Source organism: Homo sapiens, chromosome 5, assembly GCF_000001405.40.
Source record: "Homo sapiens chromosome 5, GRCh38.p14 Primary Assembly".
NCBI classification, from domain to species: Eukaryota; Metazoa; Chordata; class Mammalia; order Primates; family Hominidae; genus Homo; species Homo sapiens.
Genome location: NC_000005.10, coordinates 142,735,279 through 142,761,504, shown reverse-complemented (window position 1 = coordinate 142,761,504; position 26,226 = coordinate 142,735,279). Strand labels below are relative to the sequence as shown.

The window sequence follows — 26,226 nt, the reverse complement described above, 5'->3', positions numbered from 1 at the left end:
CCAAGCGTGGTGGCGGGTGCCTGTAATCCCAGCTACTCTGGAAGCTGAGACAAGAAAATTGCTCGAACCCAGGAAGCAGAGGTTGCAGTGAGCCGAGATCGCGCCATTGCACTCCAGCCTGGGTGACAGAGCAAGACTCCATCTCAAACAAAAAAACAAACAAACCCCACTGGCAAAATTAATATTTGGAAGTTTTATGTCCCTCCAACTTTGTTTGTTGTTTGTTTTGTTTTTTATTCAAAAGTTTAGAAACCTCTTCTTAAGCCCAAGGCAGTCATGTGTCTAGTTTGCTGTGTTCCCTGTGACTTGCAGAGTGCCTAGCAATACTAAGCAACCAATAGAGTTGGTCAGCAAACTTTTCTATAACAAACTTTTAGGCTTTGTAGGCCATACAGTCTTGGTTGCACCTACTCAACTCTGCTGTTGAGGCAGAAAACCAGCCAAAAACAGTGCATAAAAGAATGAGTGTGGTAACTATATTCCAACAAAATTTATAGACACTGAAATTTGGATTTCATATAATTTTTATGTCACAAAATAGTCTTTTTTTCCCACCATTTTAAAATGTGATAACCATTCTTAGTTCATGGACCATACAAAAACAGATGGTAGGCTGGAATTGGCCTGTAGGCTGTAGTTTGCCCACCATAGGGCCAAATGAAAGAAAAGAGTGACTAAGTACAGAGTAAGACCAGAAATCCAGAAATTTCAAATGCGTAGGTACCAACTCCTCTTGGCACTGAGTGCCCGTGACCTCAGGAAAGTCAATTTAAGATACCAGCGTAGCCTAGTTTTCCAGCTATAAATTAGGGAAAGCAATTCAAATCTATTTCTTCAGGCTATTGTTGATGAGAGGTATTATAAATTGACAGCAAGGAAACATGTTGCAACTAAGAAGGACCAAATAATATAACCATGACTATAAAAGAAAAAAACTAGTAGATGTATTTACTAAACTAATTTAAAAGTTTCAATTTTCTGTTTCAAAAAAAAAAAAGATGGGAAAAACAGGAGTCCCACTGATTACTGTAGAATTATTTTTGAAATGGGCTATTGGTGGAATTACAGAACCAAGGAGCTTTAGGGCTAAGAGAGATCGTGAAAAACTTCCAGTTTGATCACATTGTTTTAAAGGCAGGGGAAAATACCAGGGAAAAAGATAGTTGCCCAAGGTCACTTATTTAGAGAACGAGAATAATCTAATAAGACAATATATCTTCTGAAGACTGAATAGGAAATAAGGTCATATAATAAAAAGAGCATGGGGTTTTGAACACTGGGTTCAAATACTGCCTTCCACAGTTAACGTTTTTGAATTTCAAGCAAGTTACTTAACTGAGTCTCAATATCTTCATCTATAAATCAAGGACAATAATATTTTGTAGAGTTATAGTTAAGAACAAGTGAAGTAATGTACACAGTAAATTGTTGGGCATATAATTTAAATGCTCAATAAATGAGGATTTATATTATATGAAATTTCAAATCTCAAAATTTACCACAGCTGCTAAAAAAAATTGAAATTACAGTTTCTAAACTGAGCTAAGAAATGAAACCCACATATTTGATGTTCTAACAAAACTAATTTTATCTGTATTCATTGAAATACTTCTTGAATTTCTATTTATATATTTCTGGAAGACAATACAGTGCTGTTTTTAAACTTGAAACCACAAACTAACACACTTTCATTGTAGGATGGAATTTGATCGCGTTAAAGCCAATTTGTCACTGAAATACCCCAAAGTTCATTCATTATGGAGGAATCCTAGACCCTGTAAACTTTTATTTCGGTTTCTTATCTGACAATAATTTGGTAAATAAAAGAAATGTAGTACTTAAAATACATAGTTTCTGCAGATCATATTGGGGCAAAAAAAATACATAAAATGCCCTCATATTGTCATTTCAAAGTAATGCTAACAGCAAAATCTTAAACATCAGACAGACATAGGTTTTAACCACAGCTCTGCCACTTCATGGCTGTGTGACCTTGGACAATTTACTTAGTCTCTCTAAGCCTCAGTTTTTTTGAATGTGAAATGTGGTTAATAATAATAGTATCTACCTCACAGGGCTGTGTGATGATGACATGATAGGATGCACATAAAATGCTTTACTTAGACCATTGTCTGCAATATAGTAAGTGTTCAAAAAAAAATGTTAGCAAAATTAAATATCATATTGTTGGGAGAGGAACTTTGACAAATTCCATTTTCATAATCTTCTGTTTCTTCTGGTGGGTGTTAGATAAAACTTGAAAAGAACTGATTTTCAGAGTAATATTGTAAACTGTAAACAGTTGCTCATGTGAAGATAGAACTGGAGGTAGATTTCTTCCACTGGTCTATTAAGCGAGGAGGAAACCAATAACCTTGAGGGTTTCTAGGAACTGGGAACACAGGCTCAATTCAGGATTCTAAAAAGGAACAGATGAATTGGTTACTTTGGAGACAGCAGAATCTAGCCCTTCAGAGATACTTCCCTGCCCTCCCGATTGAAAGTAATTCCCTCTTAGTTCACTAGAATGTCAGTTCCCTGTTGGCAGATCTCATGTTGGGTCTATCTGCTTCATGGCTATATCATCAGCTTCTAGAACAGTGCCTGCACATTGCAAATTCCCAGTAACTACACAGCAAATGAATAAATGAGTGATTTTATGAATGGACAACCCTGGCATATGCTCAGTGCTTCAAATTCTCCTTAGAACTGTAAACAAAAGGTGAACTGATCTTATAGCTGTTATAAGAGGAAAAGAGAAGTATGAGCTCATAACCACACAGGCCCAGTACTGAAGTCTTGGACCACATAGACTCAGAGTTTCCAGGGGAAGGAACAAAGGGAATACATGGCAGTTGGGTAACCCCAGGCCAAAAAGAATAAAGAAAAAACATTTTTACACACATATAGATGTGGAAGTACACCATCCGCTGAGACCTGGGGTAAACGGGAACTTGGCGGGTTGTTTCTTACTTCAGGCCTAACAATCTTTCTTCACTTGGCCTCTGGGTCTCCACCCACTCACTTTCTCTTGGATCTGCTTCTAGCTCACTGATCCCTCTTTCTCAGTTTCCTTTTCTGATTCTTCCTTATTTTCCCAATCTCTAGACATTAGAATACTCCAGGCCAGTTCTCAAATCTCTATCCAAACACACCTCCTAGGTGACCCCAACTTTGAATACTCCGTAGCTTTTAACACCGTCAGCACACTAACAACTTCCAACATCTAGCCCAGATTTGACCTCGCTCCTGAACTCATACAGGTGTACACAATTGATTGCTCAACATTCTACTTGTATATCTGAATAGGCATCTCAAATTTAAAGAGAGACCAGAATTAAAATCTCTCCCTCTCACCTCCGAAATCTTGATTTTTCTCCCCAAACCCCACTAAACCCATCCTTGTAGTTGCTCAAGACAAAATCTTAGAGCCACCATTTTCCCCCCTCACAATTCATACCCAGTCATCAGCAAATCTTTTTGACTGAGCCTCCAACAGATACCTATTGTCTGACTACTTTTCCACCTATTCTGCTACCACCCTGGTTCAAGCCACCAAACATTCTTTACCTGGATTATTGCAACAGCCTCCATCTTTTACCTGGATAATTGCAACTGGTCTTTTGCTTTCTGCCTCTGCCACTCCCTGTGGTCAATCCCAGGCGACTGGCTGTGATCCTTTAGAGTGAACATAGAAGATAGCATGTCACACCTCTGATCACAACCTTCCAGTGGTTTCCATCTTACCAGAGTAAAAACGAAACCACGATCTGACCCACAGATACTCTTCTCAGCTCGTGTCCTGCCCTTCTCCCTCTGCCCACTCTGTCCCAGCTACCTGGCCTTCTTGACATTCTTCAAACAAGGCATACCTACTCTCTTCCCTCAAGGCCTTTACACTTGCTGTTTTCTCTGCCTATAATTCTTTTTTCATAGATATCAACATGACATTATTTTTCTTCCTTCAAGTCTCTATTCCAATATCATCTTTTCAGATAGGCTTCCCCTACCTTCCCCATCCAAAATAACACACACACACACACACACACACACACACACACTCACCCTGTTTTATTTTTCGCCACAATCCTTATCGTGGTTGTTGGTGATGTATACTTTTTGCATGATTTATTGTTATTTTCTTCACAATAGAATGAAAACCCCATGACAGCAGGGTAAGAGAGTGGGAGTGTGCTCTTTTAGACAGAAAAGTCCTTTTTTCAGTGCTATATCCCCTGGGCCTAGAACAGTGCCTCACACATAACAAGTACTCAAAAAATTTATTGAATGAATTAATGAATAATAGTGTTTTGGTGAAATATTCTGTATATTTCAATAGGAAAATGTAAAGTCAATAACCATTTGCTGAATGCCTTCTGCAGGGTGAATACTGTGCTTGTTCATTTTATACTCAGAATGCAGTACAAAGACTAGTTGACTTTCCATATGGATTTAAAATTAATTTAGAAAATATTAGTTTGACAATTCCAGATAAGGCTTAGAAAAACTGACTATAAGTAAATAAATGGTTTAAACTAGAGAAATAGGATCTTATTTTTTTGTTAGTCACTCTTCTAATCCATTGTATCAAACTAGTATGTATTTTAGGTTCTGTAGCATTCGTTTTGGCCTCTAGAATTAATCCTTTGGCCCAGAAAATGCAAATTAGATTACCTCCAAGTTTCCGCTGGCAACCTTCCATCTCAAGCTTAGATAACAATCTCCTTTAGCTTTTAGTATTTTAGGAAGTTTCTTTGTCACATGAAGAGAGCTGTGAAGACCAAGAGGAGACACAGACCTATAATTATAAGAAGAATCATAAGCACTTAAGAAGAAACATAGATCTACAATGATAACTGTTATTTTACTCACCAGACATTTATTGAAATCTTACTATGCTTCGGGTGCTGGACTAGGCACTGGGGAGCCAAGGATGAACGAGACATGCCCACACCTTCAAGGAACTCACAAGGGAGTCTGAGTGACAGCCAGAGGACCTGAACTTCACAGTGCAATGAGAGAAGGATGCCCAGTGTGCTATGGGAGCCAATGCAAGGGCACTCAGCTCAGCCTGAAGAGTGCCAACAAGGCACTCTAGAGGAACTGTACCTCAATTAACTCTTGGGGTGAGATATATTCCAGACAGAGGGTAGAGCATGCACAAAGCCACAGTGGCATGAATCTGTGTAAGGTGTGCAGAAAACTACAGACATTTAAGGCAGGTCACTCTAGAGGTAAAGCTGGAAGCGGAGCAGAGGGCAGGATACAGAGAACTTTATTTAGCATATTAAAGAGTGTAATAGGCAATAGAGAGCCACTGAAGCAGGGGAATGTGATTGATACATGGATACGCTTGGAGGGAGGGAGACCAGCATTTAAATAAAAGGTGATACAGGTCTGAATTAGGGAAGGAGGAGTGAAGATGGGGGATAAGAGGCCAGATTTAGAAATACTGAGTCAAAAATCAGTGGGACTTTATGTTAGGGAGACTAGAGGGAGGAGGCAAGGACAATCCTGAAGTTTCAATCCTAGAGGGTATTACCAAGTATTAATACAAATACTGATAGAATCAGGAAGGAAGAGGATTTCATTTTTAGGTACACTAAACTTGAATCACTAAGGGAGAAGCATTCTATTTGTCCATTCAAAAACTACCTATAAAGGAACTCTATATGAATTTCCAAGTGTGAATTTGGAGGGAGAGTCTAGACTTTAGAGAGTTGGGTATCATTGGCACACGGATATTCAGGAGTTAACCTATGAGGATGGTTGGCCCAGTACCTGGGACAAAGGAGGCTCTCAGTGGGTGCCTGTTGAAAAGAGTAAAGGAAGAGTTACTCTGCAAGAGCATATAAAAAGAGAAGAGCTGGAAACCAAAGATGAACCTCCAGAAACACAATGCTTCAGGGGTGGGTAAAGGAGGCAGAAAGGGAGTGGTCAGAAAGGTGGTGTCATGGGGATAAAGTGAGATAGGCATAGGAGCCAAGGACACCACCACACTTCATCAGGTATCATAAGGGCTTGTAAAATCTGAGCATTCTCCCATGTTAACATTTCTTCATGAATTAATCCTAAATTGAAAATGAAGGCCGGGTGTGGTAGCTCATGCCTGTAATCCCAGCACTTTGGAGGGCCAGGGCAGGCAGATTACTTAAGCCCAGGAGTTTGAGACCACCCTGGGCAACATGGTGAAGCCCTGTCTCTACAAAAAATACAAAAATTAGCCAGGCATGGTGGAACATGCCTGTAGTCCCAGCTACTCAGGAGACTGAGGTGGGAGGATCACCTGAGCCTAGGGAGGTCAAGGCTGCAGTGAGCCATGATTGCATTACTGCACTCCAGCCTGGGCAACACAGTGAGGCCCTATCTCAAAATAAAAATAAAAAATAAAAAAAGAGGCCAGACGCAGTGGCTCACGCCTGTAATCCCAGCACTTTGGGAAGCCGAGGCGGGTGGATCATGAGGTCAGGAGTTTCAGACCAGCCTGGCCAATATGGTGAAACCCCATCTCTACTAAAAGTACAAAAATTAGCTGGGCGTGGTGGTGCACACCTGTAGTCCCAGCTGCTTGGGAGGCTGAGGCAGGAGAATCGCTTGAATCCAGGAGGCAGAGGTTACAGTGAGCCGAGATCATGCCACTGCACTCCAGCCTGGGTGACAAAGCAAGACTCTGCCATAAATAAATAAATAAATAAGAGTTAAGTAGGTCTCTAGATGGAAAATATAAACATTTCTTTTTTCTAGAGCTTTCTAATCTTCTAATTCAAGGGTTATTTGAGCAATAGGTAGTTGCATTTCTAGTTACCAATTTTAATTCCAAGTTTATGCTATTGTGCATTTTTGTTTTAAATAATTGCGGATACTTTTTTCCTCATTTATGATGATTATTTTCTATTCTTGGTATTAACTCCCTGAAGCTAATTTAAACCAGAGCATGCAGTTTGTCAGTATAAAAACAACTGAAAGTCTAAGATTGGGTTATAACATTTAGAATTATATTCATGTACTGATGAGAGAGATTGTGGCTTCTGGTCAATTCTATGTGAGTGTGATGATTACTGGTTGCAAACATCTATTTTTCATTTGTTTTAATTTGATTTGTTTTTGCCTATCCAGCATCCATACCCAATTCTGGTATAAATAGTACCAAGTTTTTCTTGAAGAACCACTTCTCTCTGATTCCTAGTCCAAGTGATTTTCGTAAAGCTGAGTCCACTGGGCTTCAGGCGAGGGCATGCAGCCCAGAGATGACCAATGAAACACTGCAAACCCATGGGCCCAGTGACTGGCTCAGGAACGAGCTTATGACCCAGTCAGAGGCAATGAGATAGAATTCTTGGACTTGTTAGAACAACCAGGCCAAAAGTAATCTTAGCTGAACTTGAAGCTGGATGGATATACACCTAGAGCTGATGTGGACCACTGCTGCCATAGCACACTGGGCATCATGGGGAAAGACTCAGAATGAAGCAAACACAGAGGAAAGATGAGCTGAGAGATGAAGAAAGAGAGAGAGACCAAGGACTGAAGACAGTCTTCGAGATCCTGTCTCTGACCATCCCTAAAGCTAGCATATTGCCATACTCCTCAAATATGTGAGCCTATAAGTGCCCTTTTTAAGATTTGGTCAATTTTTTTTTTTTAGCTTTTCCACTGCTTGCAACCAGTAAGTCCAGGTTATAGACATCATTTGATCTCTATTTTCTCTGCCTCATCTACCAACAGGGACTCAAGTGTCCAAGTTCATGCTTCTTCCCAGCTAGCCTATTGTGCCTTCCACACTGTGCTCAACATTTTCAGGTCAGCCCCTTGTTACCTTCTATATCAGGCCCACTCTCCACTACTTTGTGATTTGTGTCAGTGCTCGGTTCCTAAGCTGAATTCACTGAACTCACAGCCTAAGCTATGGACCTCACTGTTTCCCATGGACACTTCCTGTTTATTATATTCACCTAGAACAGTCTCTTTCTCCTTTGCCAATCTGTTTGTTTTAGTAAGTAGAGGCAGGACTGGATGGAAGCCACTTCTGTCCCCAGGCTTAGAAAGCCCAATGCTAAATTGTTGGGCCTGGCTGCCACCCAACAGCACCGGTACATTCTGTTCAAGCTCAAGCTCTCTGTCCCAAATGTTGTACTTGCTGCTGCTTTTCCTCCCTGCCTCCCAGGACAGGTTTAGCCTGATATTATTCCCAATTCTGTCATCTCTATTGTTGCCATGCCACCCAGGACCTTTGTTATTTCCCCTGCAGGGATCTTGGGAATTTCTGTGAAATCATACCTTAGTGGTCTAGAGCAATCTAGCTTCCAAACACGATTTCACAACCACTGCAGTGATATCCTCCCTTCTCAAATAAGATTGTTTCTCCTTTCCCTGACTCTGGACAGGCACGATAAGTCATTCATATCTGCCAAGAGAGAAAAATAGCTATCTTCAAAATTATATAAGAGGAGAAGAATTTTTCCTTCAGCTTTCCCTGAAACACACAGAAATAACAGAGGGACAAAAGCTTCTCTGAGTAAAGGTGATGACTTGATCTCCTTCCTCTGCTTTTATTATCTTTCTCTCATTCAATCAGTATAAATGGAGTAGCCTTTTATGTTCTTCTCAAGCTCTAGTGAATTGAATTGTAACCATTATTGATTCAACCAATATTTACTTGAGCATCTATTACATGCCAGGCACCGTGCTAGATAATGTGTTCACAGAAGTAGATAAGACAGACATGATCCCTGCTTCATTCAGATTAGAATCTAGTGAGGGTGGAGAAAAAGCAGCAAATATGTAAATAAATAAACGAGCAAAATTTCTGACAGTTAGACATGCTATCAAGAAAATACAAGGAGAGGCCGGGCACAGTGCCTCATGCCTGTAATCCCAGCACTTTGGGAGGCTGAGGCGGGTGGATGACCTGAGGTCAGGAGTTCAAGACCAGCCTGGCCAACATGGTGAAACCCCATCTCTACTAAAAATACAAAAATTAGCCAGGCATAATGGCAGGTGCCTGTAATCCCAGCTAGTCAGGAGGCTGAGGCAGGAGAATCACTTGAACCCGGGAGGCGGAGGTTGCAGTGAGCTGTGATTGTGTCTCTGCACTCCAGCCTGGAAAACAGGGTGAGACTCTGTCTCAAAAAAAAGGAAAAGAAAAGAAAATACAAGGAGATAATGTGTTTCAGAGTAAGCGTACTATTTTAGATAGAGTGATCAGAGAAGACTATCCTGAAGCGGTAATATTTGAGATAAAACCCAATGAAGAGAATGTACAAACCACATGGAGACCCACCCAGAACAGCATTCCAGGAGGCAGCACATGCAAAGTCCTGAGCCTGAAGCTGGCTTGATATATTAGAGTAGGGGTTGGTAAAATACAGCCCAAGAAATAACAGAGGGACCTGGCCTGCATTTTTTTTTTTTTTTGGACAGCCCACAGCTAAGAATGATTTTTACATTTCTAAATGGATGAAAAACAAAACAATTTGTGACATGTGAAAATTACGTGAAATTCAAATTTCAGTGACCATAAAGAAAATTTTTATTGGAACGTAACCATACTCATTCATTTATTTATTTTCCATGGCTGTTTTTCATGCCTCATTGGCAGAGTTGAGTGGTTTCAAAAGAGACCAAGTGGCCTGTAAAGCCTGAAATATTTACTATGTAGCCCTTTGCAGAAAAAGTGTACAGACTTCTGTTTTAGGGGAACAGGAAGAAATATCTTCCCAAGCTTGAGAGAACCTTGAGTTCCTTGAATTCCTCAGGAATTCTTGAATTCTTTAGCCTATAAATAACAGAAAATCAGTGTCCAATTGACTTAAATAATGTGAAGCATTAAAATAGCCATAAAGTGATAATTTTCCCATCAAGAGGTAAACTATGTCCTCTCCCCTTGCATCTCAATGGAATTTGTGACTGCTCTGACCCACAGAATATGACAGACGTGATGCTGTGCCAGTCCAGGCTCTGGCCTTAAGAGACTGAAGGCTTCTACTTCCTGTCTCTTGGAATACTCTCTCTGGAAGCCCTTCACCCTGGGGAAGAAGTCTGAGTACCTTGAGATGGCCATGTTGAAGAGGTCATGTATGTGTGTTCTGGTTAAATGTCCCAGCTGAGCCTGCACTTCCAGCCAGCATTGCCAAGGTGCCAAATATGTGGACTCTAAAGACCAGTCCATCAGCCAGCTGAATATCACTAAGGGACCTCAGTCAATGGTACATGGAATAGAAGAATTACCTAAGTAAGTCCTTCCTGGCTTCCTGGCCTACAAAATTATGAAATTTAATAACATGGATGCTATTTTAAGCCACTCCATGTTGTGGTAACTGTTTTATAGCAATAGACAACTAGAAGAAACAATACAGAAACCCTATTATCTCACATAATAAGAAGCTCAGGGTACAGCAAGGGCCATCTAGAATACTGCTTTTATTTATGCATATTGCTACCGCTTTTATGCAATTTCCTTGGCGCTACTTTTCGCTTTGGTTGGTTTAATTGTTAGACCGATAGCAAGATGACTTTAGCAGTCCTGGGAGTCAGATTCAAACCTGACAACGTCCAGAGAGAGAAGACTATTTTTAAGAAAAAGAAAATGTAGGCTAATCAGGATCTACCTTGGAATTGGGAATTGGGTCACCTCCCCTGAGTCACTGGGGAAGGGATGGACACCTGATCATAATTAAGTTCTATTAGAAAGGAAGTAGGTGAGCGGATATTGGGTCAACAATGCACTTGTCCAAAGTATCTTTCTTCCTTCCATCATTCATTCATTCATCTATTCATTCATCCAGAATAGTTTAGGTTTAATCATATGAATATGCTTTTTTGTAAATCAAAAGTAGTCAAATAACCATAATTTGAAAAGGTTAAGCAACGTTTATCAAGCCTGTATGACAGTGGGAGGCATGGAGCTAGATGTTAGGACTATTAACACCTAAATTAATAGCAATTAAAGGTGCTAAGTTCAAGAAAGGGAAAGAACAGGACCAGCTATATAATCTGCAGAACCCAGTGAAAAATGAAAATGGAGGACCCCTGGTTCAAAAAGTATTAAGAACTTCAGGATGGTGACAGCAGAGCATTAAACCAAGCATGGAGTCCTTCTAAGTGCAGAATGACTGTACATATTGCATGTCCATGAATCTGGCTCTGGGAAAGACCAGATGACCACAGAAAGAACAGCAAGGACCCTAGTTTAGATTGAGCTGGGGGAAGAGGGTGTTAGGAAGGCCTCTCTGAGGAGGTAATATTTAAACAAGGACCTGAAGGGTGGATAGGAGTACCCAGGTAAAGAGTTGAGGAATGCAGCTTCCTAGAAGAAGAATAGCACTCTCCCATCTTCTCCATCCTCCAGGTTGGTTAAGAGACTTAGCATTAGCCTGTCTTCATCAGCTGTGAGGAAACAAGATAAAGGTAACAGATCTTTTCCTGTTTGTGCCAGCTCAGGCCTATTTCCCAACCCTTTTTTGTATTCTAGATCTTGGCACTTGGGTACACTACCCGTATAATCTGATCCTCCCCCTTTAATACTGTAGATAGTCAGGACTACCCAAGAGGGGTCCCAGCCTTGCTCCTTGCTCAATGCTTAATATGCTCAATGCTTAGTATGCTCAACGGTAGATGCTTTCTAGGAAACAGCCTAACCTGCCTGATCCACTTGGTGCAGGCTTGTCACAAATAGGGAAAGACCTCTCCCTGTCCTCACATTCCCTCAAACCTCAAACCATGAAATCAGCTAACACAAATTGGACCTCAAAAAATGTTGTCAACAAACCCAAACCTTTCCCCTAAAATTACTAAATTCATCCATTTTGCATTGCTATAAAGGAATACCCAAGACTGGGTACTTTATAAAGAAAAGTATATTTGGCTCATGGTTCTGCAGGCTGTACAAAAAGCATGGCACCAGCATTTGTTTCTGGTCAGGACTTTAGGAAGCTTTTACTCATGGAGGAAGGTGAAAGGAGAGAAGATGAGTCATATGGTGAGAGAGGAAGCAGGCGAGATGGAGGAGAGGCGCCAGGCTTTTTAAACAACCAGCTCTCGCATGAACTAATAGAGTAAGAACTCACTCATTATGGCAAGGAGGGCACCAAGCCATTCATGAGAGATTTGCCTCTGTGACCCAAACACTTCCCACTAGGCCCTACTTCCAACATTGGGGGATCACATTTCAACATGAGATTTGGTGGGGACAAATATTCAAACTGTATCATACCTTATCCCATTTTTATTTCTGCAATGTTCTTTTCCTATATCAGATCCTATGGAAATTTGATGATGTAGTGGGCCTCCAAGTTGGTTGTAAGCAGAATCACACAAGAAGCTTATTAAAAATACAGATGCCCCAGCCCTATGCCAAACCTAGCTTCTCTATTTTTAGCAAGCTCCACAGGTAATTCTGATGCACTGCCAAGTCTCTGAACCACTGCTTTAGCCAACTGGATGGAATAAGGGAAATTCCCATTTGGCTGGTAGGAGTCAGAACATTTCCTTTCTGCCACTACCTGTGGCTCCTGGGCAAACTACTTTAATTCAGTTCCTCAGTTGTCCCTTTAAGTAAAGTGATGATTCCTCCATGATATCTCTGCCCTAGAAGCTTGCGTAGTATGAAAGTATTGATATCTTCCCATGATCTAGTCCCACTTTGGGTGGCCAAGCCTCAGTTTCCTCAAGGAACTACCTGCCCCTCACTGACTGGAGGAAGGCTTTGTAGGACTGTCAATCAAGGTGCTCTGCTGCCCTCTGGCTGCCCCCTGGGCCCAAGACCCAAGTTTGGCCAACCAGATTTTCTCTCCCAGGAAATTAAATACTGAGAGAGCTGAAGCAGAGACAAAATAAATGAAGTTGATTCATCTGGTACGGGTGACCCCAAAAATCTGTTAGTTTCTGCTTCCTAAGCTGTTGCCCTGGTTCTTGTGCTCTCAGAAACCTGGTTTTTCAGCCTTTCCCTCAGATCTGTAAGCAACCCTGATAGCCTTGGAATAAATTGTTTCTTTTGCCTAAGTGAGCCAGAGTTAGTTCTGTTGCTTGCCACCAAAGAATTCTAACTGATTCTCACAATCAAGATCTTTGATAGAGTGTTGTATATAATAATGATGTCATAGCTTCCATTCTTATAAAGCCATTGTGAATGATTCTCTTGTAGCTAAAGTGACCGTTCTATAGAAGGTCAAAAGTTTGTTTTAATAATGACATCTTTGTTCCAGTAATTCCAGACAGTGAAAATTTCTCAATAGTGTAAGAGGTTATTCACTGTCCTGCTGAAATATCTTAAGTGGAAACAGGCCTTGGGTAAATACTCTTCCTCTAAACAAAGCTTATTGTTCTGGACCCAGGGAAGGAAAGGACAAGAGAAAAAAGAAAAAGGAAAAAAGTTTGGGCTCAGTTTAAACCAGCTCCCATTCAGCTATATCTGCCCTTTACATACAAATTTAATAAAAAGTTGACTCTTTATGTATTTTTTTAAAGGCTGGAAATTGCATCCGAATACACATTTTAAGGGGTGACTTGCAGAGAAAATAGCTTCAGTGATTGAACCCTTTTCTCTCATCAGCCTATATTTTATTTCTACCCCCATCTCATTGTTACAGTTTTTACTCTTTCTTATTGTTACTGACATCCTCACTATTTCTCACCTTTATTGGCTGTGTTAACAGTTATGAGCACTTGCTGTGAACCAGGCACGATGATAGATGTTTGACACGTATTACCTCATTTAATCCTTACAGTGCCCTTCAAAGCCAGTATTATTATTCCCATTTTACAGAGGGGAAACTTGAAGCTCAGTGAGGTTAAGTAATAGGGCTAATGTGCAACATGACCAATCACTTACCTGTGTGTCCCTATCTGTCCCCAAGTCTTCCTTACACTGTGACCCATTGCCTTAAATTGAAAGTACCTGCTTAGTCCAAGGCATCACTGGAAAGAATATTAAATGTGGCATTGTAGCTCAAAAAAAAAAAGACAACTGAACTCATTGCCCATGTCATGTTCTATATTCCTGACTAGACTATAAGCTCCTTAAGGGCAAACACTATGTTCTGTCTACCACAATATTACCAGCACATGCCTAGCACAGAGGAGGTTCTCAAAAAATGCTTATAGAATCAGTGAATATCCTATAGGGTCCTCAGAATAAGGGACCATCACAAGGTTAGGAGAAAATGTCAAGAAATCCCTTTCTGGGAAACAGAAATTCCAGGTTACCCCTAGTGAATTCAACCAACTTTGAAGTTTGGCCAAGCCTTTAAATAGCATTGCATGATTTCAAATTTGGAATCCTGGGCAGCAATTTCCCTTCCTGAAGAGCTGTTGCATGTTCTATGCATAGTCATGCTTTGGCTTGAGTTTATGAGGAACAGAAGTTTCAAAAAATCTGACTGAGAAGTATAAGCTAAAAGGCTCAAGTACCAGTTATACTTTTCCCAGGGCCAGTAAGCTCTCAAAGAGCTCAAATCCAGGGATCAAGCTCTCCATCAAGGACTTGGAACATAATGTTATTTTATCACTTTCAGAAATAATAACTAGAGATAATTTCTGGTTGACATAAGACTCACAACTTATCCTTGAGTGAACTCTTTTCGTGTCTCAGTTCCTCGAATGGAAAACAGTCAAATAAGCACATATACAGTCAAAATCTTCCTCCAAATCTGTGAGGTTCCCTCAGTGGAGTCAGTCTCATTAAGTCACTGCTATTCAGTTCAATAGCAGTGAATTAATCCAATTTGACCTTTGGATTCAGATAAACCTGAGATTAGGCTTTGGCTTTGACATGTATCAGCCACGTGACCTTGAACAGAACATGGTAGCTCTCAAAGCCTTAGCAGCCTTGTCTCTTGCTGGGAAGATGGTAAATGATAATGTGTTTAATGTGCTTAAACCAGTGTCAGGCACATGCGAGGCAGTCAGTAAATAGTGACTTACAGTGATATTTCTGCTGGCTTCACTTGCACATTTCATTCAAAACAGTTGAAAAGTCCAGTGTGTTCATGGTGTTTTAACTGGCAGTTGTGATCTGAAGTCAACCTTCAACTAAGTGGATTAGTTTATCAACTTCCAAATTATAAGCAAAATTAATCTGAACTAAGGCAATGAAGTGATACAGGCATACAAATGAAACATCTGTCCTGATCTCTGCCTTGGAAAAATTCAAAACACTGTAATTCTATTATTCTTACAAAGATTATTTTAACCATTTATTTTAAAAATCAGCATTGCTATTGCATCTTGACTGTTCTATTGTCCAAACTTTCTGTATCTATTTTAAGACTTAAATATAAAGCATGAAACAGGTTTAATTTTGAACATAGTGAGCAGATGAAATATCACTCTTTTCTTAAAAGAGATTCTTAGCAGGCATTTTAAAATCCCCATCCTGTCTTGTTTTCACTAGATCACTGGTCAGTACTCGACAGCTTCAAGCCAGATAATTTCAAAGGTTCAAGATGTCAGTTAGATCCCACTGACCACAGGTAGATCCATTTGAATTAGAAAAATTCTAACACTGACGAGAGAACTCTTTCCTAATGTTAGGTGTGGCTAAGGATCTGTTTGAGCTATTGGAATATGGGCAGTAGTTTATAAGTATCAGAATACAACTTTCTGTGTCCCCCTTCTCTTTGCCAGGGGCAGCTCGTATTGATCTGGACATGCAGCGTAAGCAAAATAACTTTATGTCATTTAAGCCACTGAGATTTTAGGGCTATTCGTTTCTGCAGCATAGCCTAGCCTTTCCTAACAAGATATAGAATATATATAAATGCAGTTGATATGTGTAACAGACATACTCACGGAGCCACACACGGAGTCCTCCCATCTTGGTCTACAAGTAATTTCCAGAAGTTAGTGGTTTGGTGGGATAGAGACAAAGCTCAGAACTACAGTCAATATCAGAATAACTTTAACACACTGGCAGAAAGATTCAGACGCATCTCTTCTATGTCATCATGAGAGTGAGAAACATGATTCCTAAATCTGTATTCCTGGCTGGAATTCTCATCTGTCAACAGGTGTCATTGTCACCTTGAAGAGAACCAGAGCAGGCTGTCTCTCCCTCATCCTCGCGCACTCTCCTGGTGAGTTGTAGAGCTGGGGCTGACCTCAAACTGAGAACTCCTTGGGATATAGCATGTATCCCAAGTAGCCCTCACTCTAGGGAGGTTTTTTTTTTTTTTTTTTTATCTGTATCTCAAGTCCACAAATAAGCACTCAAGGTTGATGTCAATCTTTGACACGTCATCTATTCCCAAGCCAGCCTCTCCATGAAGGAATCAGTGATCTTCCAAATGTTTTCTTTTCATAGCTGAAACAAACAATAAATATTATTTATTATTTTAGTAAGAAGCACATGATCTAAATCCCACTAGTAATAAAGATAATGGCCATTTGTTGAGGGCTTGTTATTTGGCACTATGACATATATCATTTTATTTAATCCTCGCAACAATTTGATTAGGTAGTATATTATTAGAGTTCTCCAGAGAAACAGACCCAATAGGATATATATAGAGATACATTAGGAGATTTATTATAGAATTGGCTCATGCAGTTACGGAGGATGAGAAGTTCTACAGTATGATGTCTGCAAGCTGGAGAACCAGGAAAGCTGGTGCTATAATTCAGTCTGAGTTTAAAGGCCTGAGAAATGGGAGCAGGAGCTCATAGTGTAACTCAGAGTATGAGGCCCAAGGCCAGAGAAGCTGGAGGGTGAAGATGCTTGCTGGTGTCAGTGTCAGAGTCCAAAAGCCTGAGAATCAAAAGCATTAATGTCCAAGGGCAGGAGAAGATGGATGTCCCAGTTTCAGCAGAGAACAAATTCACCCTTCCTCTGCCCTGTCGTTCTATTCAGATTGGACGATGCCTGCCCACATTGATGAGGGTGAATCTTCTTTCCTCAGTCTACTGATGTAAATGCTGATCTCTTCCAGAAATATCCTAACAGACACACCCAGAAATAATGTGCTGCCAGCTATTTGGGCATGCCTTAGCCCAGTCAAGTGGATAGATACATCATCGGTAGGTACTGTGATTTCCTTTTTTACAGATCAAAAAACCAAACCTTAAAGTGGTCAAGTAACTTGCTTAAGGTCAACCAGCCTAGAAGTGGGAAAAATTATGCAAACTCAAAAACTGTTCTTTGCAAGGAGGCCCGCCTTATTCCCCCTCCTGGCCATATATTATATCTCAATCTCCACACCCAAGATATAAACCCTGGAGTTTTCCTTGTCTTCATTCTGTTGCCAGTGACTTGATTACATCATTTCTGGTCTGACACCAGTAGGGCTCCAGTATGTTCCCGGGGAGAACTGGGCCCCCAACACCTGCTAATTTCTTCCTGCCTTTGCAGAGGAGAGCCTGGGAACTTAACCTAAGAAAAAAACTAAACAAAGTGATCCAAGGAGAAAAAAAACCCTGGGATGAAGAAAAGTTATTTTCCTCTTTGATAATTCTGTGTAACTAGTAACTATGGAAGAGAAAACTGATCTACGGGTTTGTTAGAAACTCTGGGGCCTGAGGCGGAAATAGACACTGTGAGACCGAGAAGGGGGTGGAACCAGAGGCTACAGCCAGGAAACAAAAGACAGGAAACAGGATTTCTTTTTGCCAATGTCCAAAACAAAGCTGATGGGGAGTTTGGCAGGAAGAGGGACCACCATTTCATACTTCCAGTGGAAAAAGGACTAAATGCTCAAAATTGAAGATATGTGGGAAGGGATGAGTCATGGAGAAACGGTGATACATAATCTTCTCTTTCTGAGAACAGTCACTTAATATTCCTGCTTGGCATTCTTTTATTATTTGACAGCAGTCCTTGTGCCTCTCTATGGGAAGCCAGGAAGGGGCCAGAATCATCTCATGCTGCTTAGTATGGGACGCACAACTGGGAAGCTGCACTCTCTTCTCCTCCCCTCCTTTCCCTCCTTCATGTATTGCTCTTCCCTCTTCCCGGAATGCCTCTCCCACTGTTAGCATAGGTAACTCTACTTTATTTTTAAGTCTTAGTTTAGATGTCACTTCCTCAAAAGAATTTTCCTTGACCCTTATTCTGTGACAGAGTTGTTAGCTGCCTATCCAGGACCCATTCTCCTCTCTTTCTTTTCTTCTTTTTTTTTTTAAACACAGAGTCTCACTCTGTGACGCAGGCTGGAGTGTAGTGGTGCAATCATAGCTCACCGTAGCCTCGAACTCCTGGACTCAAGGAATCCTCCCACCTCAGCTTCCTAAGTGGCTGGGACTACAAGCATACGCCACCATGCTCAGCTAATTTTTAAAATTATTATTATTAAGTATTATTATTATTATTTTGTAGAGATGGGGTTTTGCCATATTGCCCAAGCTGGTCTTGAATGCCTGGGCTCAGGCGATCTGCCTACCTTGGCCTCCCAAAGTGTTGAGATTATAGGCATGAGCCACTGCACCCAGCTTTATTTGCATTTATAACCAAGCTTTCGGCTTAATATCTCCCAGGCTTGAAGCACATTGACTTTCTTTCACTGGAGGACATTATCCAAACAAAACATTATCCAAATAAAAAATAGCTCATATTTACTTGTGTGTGTTGGAAAGAGCCATTACTATTGGAAACCATTTAGATTTTGTTTTAAAATTTTTTTCTGGAAAAATATTTTCAAATCATTTCTTTTGTAGGGAAAATGCTACCTGGATGAAATATTTGTCAAAGTGTGGTTGCATCTGTTCCCACTTATCATTTGATAAATTGGCATAGTCAACGCACAGTTGTACAAAGCACACATCATGCAAACCTTAGCTGGTGAGTATAAAAATGACCACTGACCCCTGATTTGCAAGCAGCCCCTGACTTGGTTTGGACTCTCCCAGAAGCAGACCTGGAAACAATGATTCAAGTGCAAGCCTTTCATTTGGGAAGTGTAGGGACACTGCTTATGGGTTGGGGAGGTGATAGAGGAAAGGAAGACAGCCAAAAAAGGATGTGTTATTCAGCCAGCTACTACAGTAAGTGACAAGAGTCCAACCCCACAGGGACACTCTGGGGAATAGTATCCCACAAGAGGCATGGGGAGCTGGGGTACTTATCTACCAATTCCCATCAGCCATCAGCTACTCTTAGGGTGTTAATTCTCTGGCAGCCTACAGGCCAGGGCAGACGGGCCTTCTATGGTTCCCAGAAAATCCCTCATGCACAGAGATGCAGATACTGGCAATTAGATGTGTCCAGAGCACAATGAAGCAGTAAGATCTGATGCGCGCTGACAGCCCTGACCACCGCCCCCTTCAAGCAAAGCTCAGACTTCAATGTCCTATTTCACAGGGGACATAGACGTTTTTAGATAATACAAGGACACATTTTTTTTAATAGTTAAAAATTAAGTTTCAACATTCCCTTCCACCTAATGCACAAGGTGCTGGTTTCCAGTTTGTGGTAGTGATGAAATATATAGATTGCAAAAGGAATCAATTTTTTAAAAGAGCATCAATTGATTTAAAGTATATTGAAGAAAGGCTGGGCATGGCAGCTCATGCCTGTAATCCCAGCACTTTGGGATTCCCAGCCAAGGTGGGCGGACCACTTGAGATCAAGTGGTCTTCAAGACCAGCCTGGCCAATATAGTGAAACCCCGACTCTACTAAAAATACAAAAATTAGCTGGGCGTGGTGGCATATGCTTGTAATCCTGGCTACTCAGGAGGCAGAAGCAGGAGAATCACTTGAACCTGGGAGGCGGATGTTGCAGTGAGCTGAGATGGTGCCACTGCACTCCAGCCTGGGTGAAAAAGTGAGACTCTGTCTAAAAAAATAAAATAAAATAAAAAGTATACTGAAAAAATAATTGTACAGATAGTAATCAATATGCAAAGGTAATGGGGAAATGATGGAAGCTTGGAAAACACTGATGGATATTTTATAGGTAGTGAAATGGAAGCATAAAGCCAGGCCACCAAGTATCTATGAAAGAATATCTATTGTGTACCCAGCACTCTTCTAGGCATCAAGGAAGATGTAAGAGGCAGAGAAAGGACGAACCCCACATTGAGGTTTTTACCAGTAGCAGTAGTAGTAACGGCTAGCATTTAGTGAGAGCTTTGGTTTACCATCTCCTGACCTGCCTTCCTTAGGAAGCTCTACTAGCCTTCAAAAATACATGAAACAATAAAGGGTGCTCTATGCAGAATATGAGGGTCAGACTTACTAGGACAATTTCATTAAAACTTCAGAGGGAAAAGCAGCAGCATGGCAGCATGAGCGTAGACAGAACTGTGCTGGACTGGCAGTGGTCAGAGCCAGAGAACAAGGAAGACACAGCCTTAGGTTTTTCCTCCACGGACCCATCTCCTGCTCCACTCAAGCTACAGAGCAGGACTCAGCATCTGGGAGCAGGCAGGATAAAGAAAGAGGAATCAAGCTGCTGCTGAATGTTGCCAAGCTACTCCCAAAATGTGCTGCCTTGAGAGGCTGTCTTATTGTGCAAGAAGACATAAAATCCAGATGGCAATTTCTGGATTCTCAACTTTCTGTACAGAAGTCATATTTTTCCAATACATCCTAATTCTATTTACTGTGTGCTTGATGGCCAAATGTCATTAACAATGGCCAGGCATGAAAATAAAGAAAGTAATTAGGCTAGGAAATAGCTCGGCAGCTGCATCAGCTATGTGTTCTTGGAGTGGAGGTGCGGTGGTCAGGAACCATTACTGGGCTGCATTTAAGTGTTGTATGGCATCTGGGGACCAGTCACATATGTAAGCACAAATCTAGACTGACGGCAACATCACATTCAATCAAGGCCCAGTCTAACCAGAGGAGCCACAGATCTGTTACAGATAATACCTGAAGGATTGACTCAGAAAACAAATAGGCTCTTATTTGCATTAGGACTTGGATTGGCATGTTGTTTACTTCCTGTAGGTGCAAAGAATGCAACTATGGTCTATGCTCACATAGCTCCATGTCCTTCTGTTTTCAAACTGGGCTAGTCGAGCCTGGAAAAACCATCCCCTGGGCCAATGATAGATGAGGTGGCTAATCAAGAGTGTACCTCGGAATCAGACACTTGGCCCTGAAAGCTGGCTCTGCCACTCACTCTAGCATAAGACCTTAGGAAGTGTGCTTAGTTTCCCAGAGCTTTTCTTCTTCTGTAAAATGGGATAATAGAAATATCCATTTCATTTTGAGAATTAAATGAGACAAACTTTTAGCTTCGTGCCTAACACATGGTAAGTGCTTAAGATACACATGATTATGACTAAATATGACTGATTTTTATGATAGAAATCTTTATTTAGCCTTTGATGGCCTTCTTTGTGAAGAACAGCAAAGGTTATGAAGAGGAATTGGCTCAAAAATGAAGACAGAAGTCGACCAAATCCAATCCTCACTAGAAGATAAAAGAAGAAAGAGGAAGGGGATATTAGTCAGGGTTCTCCAGAGAAACAGAACAAAAAGGATTCATAGAGATATAAAGGAGATTTACATTGGGAATTGGCTCATGATGGGGATTATGGAGGGTGAGAGGTTCTATGATAAGCAGTCTGTAAACTGCAGGACCAGGAAAGCTGGTGGTGTAATTCAGTCTGGTCCGCAGGCCTGAGAAACACGGGAACTCATAGCGTAACTCCCTGTCCAAGGTCAGAGGTCTACGTTGGGGTTAGGGCATAGGAAGGGAGGTAGGGAGGTGTAGGTGCTGCTGGTATAAGTCCTGGATTTTGAAGCCTCAAGAACCAGGAGCTCTGATGTCTGAGGACAGGAGATGATGGATATCCCAGCTCAAGAGGAGAGAGAGAAAATTAGCCCTTCCTCTGATTTTTTGTTCTAGCCGCACCCTCAACAGACTGGATGGTTCCTGCCCACATTGGGGAGGGCAGTTTGTTTTACTCAGTCTACTGATTCAAATGCTTGTCTCTTCCAGAAACACCTTCACAGACACACAGAAATAATGTTTTACCAGCGATTTGGGCATCCCTTAGCCTAGTCAAGTTGACCCGTAAAATTAACCATCATAAGGAGAAGAACTAGCTGGCTAATCATGAGGTTCTGAAACACCAAATGGGAATGGAAAACATGAAAGATAAAGAACTCATCATAAGAATATACTTCTCAGAAATACAATTTAATTTTATGGTGACAGAGAATAAGATTTAAAATAACTTAGTAGGAAACTGCATATGTTCATTCCTAAACAAAAAGAGAAATAAGAAAGAATGTAATTAAAATGCCCACTAGAAGTGATAAAGGAGGCCATACTGCTTTTGCTGGTAATCTAGTAGTGTGACTATTAAAATAATAACATCCATGGTGGTATACTGTGGTGGGATAATGGCATTGTTCCCACTGTAGTACAGGCGCCACGGTCTCCCCTGTGCTATGGTGAGGCTTCTCAAAGGTCTCCTGCTTCCACTTTTGCCCCGGCACAAACCATTCTCTGCCTACCAGCCAAAGTTACTTTAAAAAAAAATACATATCAGCACCTTATCTCTGCAAGAATGGCCAAAATCAAAAACTCAAAAAATAATGATGTTGGCATGGATGCAGTGAACAGGGAACACTTTTACACTGCTGATGGGAATGTAAATTAGTACAATCACTGTGGAAAACAGTGTGGAGATTCCTTAAAGAACTCAAAGTAGAGCTACCATTTAATCCAGCAATCCCACTACTGGGTATCTACCCAGAGGAAAAGTAGTCATTATACAGAAAAGATACTTGCACGCACATGTTTATGGCAGCACAATTTGCAATTGCAAAAATATGGAACCAGCCCAAATGCCCATCAATCAACAAGTGGATAAAGAAATTGTGGTATATATACACCATCAAGTACTACTCAGCCATAAAAAGGAACAAAATAATGGCATTCACAGCAACCTGGATGGAATTGGAGAGCATTATTCTAAGTGAAGTAACTCAGGAATGGGAAACCAAACATCATATGTTCTTACTCATAAGTGGGAGCTAAGCTATAAGGATGCAAAGGCATAAGAATGATACAGTGGACTTTGGGGACTCAGGGGAAAGGGTGGGACAGGGGTGAGGGATAAAAGACTACAAATTGGGTTCAGTGTATACTGCTCGGGTGATGGGTGCATCAAAATCTCACAAATCACCACTAAAGAACTGACTTATATAACCAAACATCACCGTTCCCCAAAAACCTATTGATATTAAAAAATATATATATATTGGTTGGGGCACGGTGGCTCATGCCTCTAATCCTAGCACTGTAGGAGGCCAAGGCAGGAGGATAGCTTGGGCCCAGGAGTTCTAGACCAACCTGGGCAACACGGCTAAACCCCATCTCTACAAAAACTACAAAAATTAGCAGGGCGTGGTAGTGCATGCTTCTATTCCCAGCTACTCAGGAGGCCGAGGTGGGAGAATGGCTTGAGCCTAGGAGGTCGAGGCTGCAGTGAGCCAAGATCACACCACTGCACTCCAGCCTGGGTGACAGAGTGAGCAAGTCTCAAAAAAAAAAAGAAAAAGAAAAAAAGTATCAGATTATGTTACTACTCTGCTTCAAATCCTGTGGGCTTCCTAGTGGATTTAAAATAAAATCCTAACAATTTAAAGGTCATGGTCTGGCCTCCAGCGACTTCTCTGGCCTCATCTTGCACCACCACCTTGCTCATGATTCTACAACAGGCCAAGCTCATTCCCACTGTGGGGGCTGATCCCTCCACCTGGACATTCCTGCCCAGATATCTGCATGGCTGGTTTCCTAGCAGCAGAGTCTCCAGTCAGACATCACCTCCTTAAAGAGACCGCCCTCAACCACCCAACCAAATGTTAATTCTCCCACCCCATTTTCTCCTGGATTACTTTTTAAAACTTCTCTTTATAGCACTTTAGGCAAAATTGCCTTGTATGTTTATACACTTATCACCTGACTCCCCCTGCTAGGAAGTGAGCCTCTGGAGAGAGAGAACTTATTCACTAATGAACCTCGGGAACTAGAATGGTACCTGCCACATAGAAGAGATGTTTGAATAAATAAGTAAATAAATAAATGTATATTTCACTCTCTTACTACTCCCACCCCAGCACCTTCCTGCCTTGGGGGAGTTTGTGATTCAGAGCTAAAAGCAGAAGTTGTCTGAAGCCAGCTTGTCATTCTCTCTTTCGTGAAGATCTTACCAAGCTAAGGAGCAGATGCTTGGGGCCCCGGGGATTGGAGCATGCGGGGCCTTACTGTGTTTGGTTGAGAAGAGGAGGAACAGGATTTCTTCAAGCAGTGGGAGATCTGCAGGTTGGTGAACGATGGGTCCTAGAGATACCTCCTTATAGATCCCTGAGGTCATGTGGGATCTGGGGAGTTGCAAATGGAGGAGGAACAGAGAGCTTCAACGTGGGCTAAGGAAGGCAGACACCAGGCATGGGAGCCAGGTATGAGAGTCCTGCACCCTGAGAGGCACAGAAGTTCAGGTTTCAGGTGCTCACCCGACAAGGTGAGCCTGGACAAGGCCCATGCACTAGTCCCCTGAGTCAACTATAGTGGAGCCCCCAGTGTCTGCGCAGCCTGGGAAACCTGGAGGGTGGAGGGTTTGTAATAATAACTGAGATGGAGTTTCCTGAAGCCTGATAGAACAGGGGCTGGGAGTTGGACTTCATATCATTTTTTAAAAGTAATGAAGTCATGGGACATTTCAGACACCTTTGAGCTTGGGAAAGAGTACACATCTGCTGCTCAATACCCAGCCCAGGAATACTACACTTACAGCAGCTTTCATTGATAAGAACTTAGAATGCCAGGCCTGGACTGGGCACTCCACAACTTACCCCCTTAAATCTTAAAACAATGCTATGAGAGAGGAGCTATCTATCATCCATCTATCTATCTATCTATCATCTATCAGAGTTGGTAGCTGAGGCCCAGAGATGCTTGATTACTAGATCTCCAGGTCCACACAGGGTGAGAGGCAGTAGTGGGGGGCTCCACTTTGGAGGCCTTGGAGGCCAATCCCCTTGAGACCCGTACCTCTACTTTTCCCCACTCTGCCTGTAACGTTTGTGAAGAACTCCTGGTCAAAAGCCAATCCCCAGACTAGCTCTTCCTGCATCGGCTTTGTCCTGTAGCTGGGAACAAGCAAGGGCTGCCTGCCTGCAAAGAGAACAATCACAGCCGTCTGCTCTCCAGGTTGAGCACAATGTTCTGTCCCACAAAGCTGCAGGGTGAGAGAAGGGTGTATTGCTCCCCTCCAGTTTGGAACTGGGATGGTTTTCACCCTCAAGAGGTTCAAGACAAAAGCGTGCAGGTAGGCTAAGCCGACTCTGACGTTCTCCCCTCTCTCCAGCACCTGCTGGAGGCAGCAAGGGGACACAGACATTGCCTGATTTTATCCATTTCTTGGTCTACCCATTGCATGACATTAAGTGTTGTTTTCCTACCTCAAAGACACAAAGATCTCTTCCTAGAGTACTAACAGGTAACATGGCCAAATACCACGCAGAAAAAAATGTGTAATCAACTGCTCCCTCCTGGTGGGGAAGAGCAGCCTATTTTGCAGTAGATCGCTTGCCTTCCCATCTGCTCTTCCCCTTGTAAGCACCCCCTGGTGCATTCCTCCTACCCAGGGTTATTCCTGGGATTGAGGAAAGGACCAGGAAAATGAGTTCATATGGGAGGATTTGCAATTTCATCATCTCGTTCTTGAGAAGTGAGGGCAGGATTGGGAGGGGGGTGAGGAACATCATTTAAAAATAGGAGTCTAGAGAAGATTGTGTTCTAGATAAAGGAATGACTCCGAGGGTGGAAGTTGAGGCTACAAACACAGGGCAGGAACACAGCTGTGATCCCCTCAAATTACAATGTAAGTCTCTTGCTTCGGACTTAACCCTGAGGAACCCATTTGGCTGTTGGGACCTTCAGTGTCTCAGATTTTTCAAGTCTGACCAGTAAATCTTAGATGAGGCTCACAGAAAGTGCACCATATGCCCCACCCTCTCTCTGCCTGCCTTGCGGCAATTCCATGCCCTATCAGTTTTCATTCCTGAGACCAGGCCCGTGCCCAGGGCCAGTGTGGGGCATGTAAGGGGAGGCCCAGAAGGGGTATTTGGCTGCACTTCCAGGACAGAGGGGGCCTCAGACTCAGACGATTGGTGACTCAGGATATTTGCACATTCTCACCAGGCTCAGTGAGCAGGGAAGTTGGAGTTCTCAGCAATTGGGCACTTGCACACTGGAAGACCAAGAAAAGTCTGTTCAGATATCCTCCCCTAAGGAGCTGGGGAGGGGTGGGGTGTGTAGTTGACTGATAGCCA

The 26,226-nt window shown here is 41.9% G+C and overlaps 1 long non-coding RNA gene across 1 annotated transcript; it reads right to left on the bottom strand.

Moving 5' to 3' along the window:
• Positions 1–511: 511 nt before the first annotated feature.
• Positions 512–15,905, bottom strand: LINC01844 (long intergenic non-protein coding RNA 1844). The gene is made up of 4 exons (NR_110558.1): positions 15,787–15,905; positions 4,675–4,771; positions 3,571–3,678; positions 512–2,419 (listed from the first exon to the last, which is right to left on the bottom strand). It is a non-coding gene; the product is annotated as a long intergenic non-protein coding RNA 1844 (long non-coding RNA).
• Positions 15,906–26,226: the final 10,321 nt, after the last annotated feature.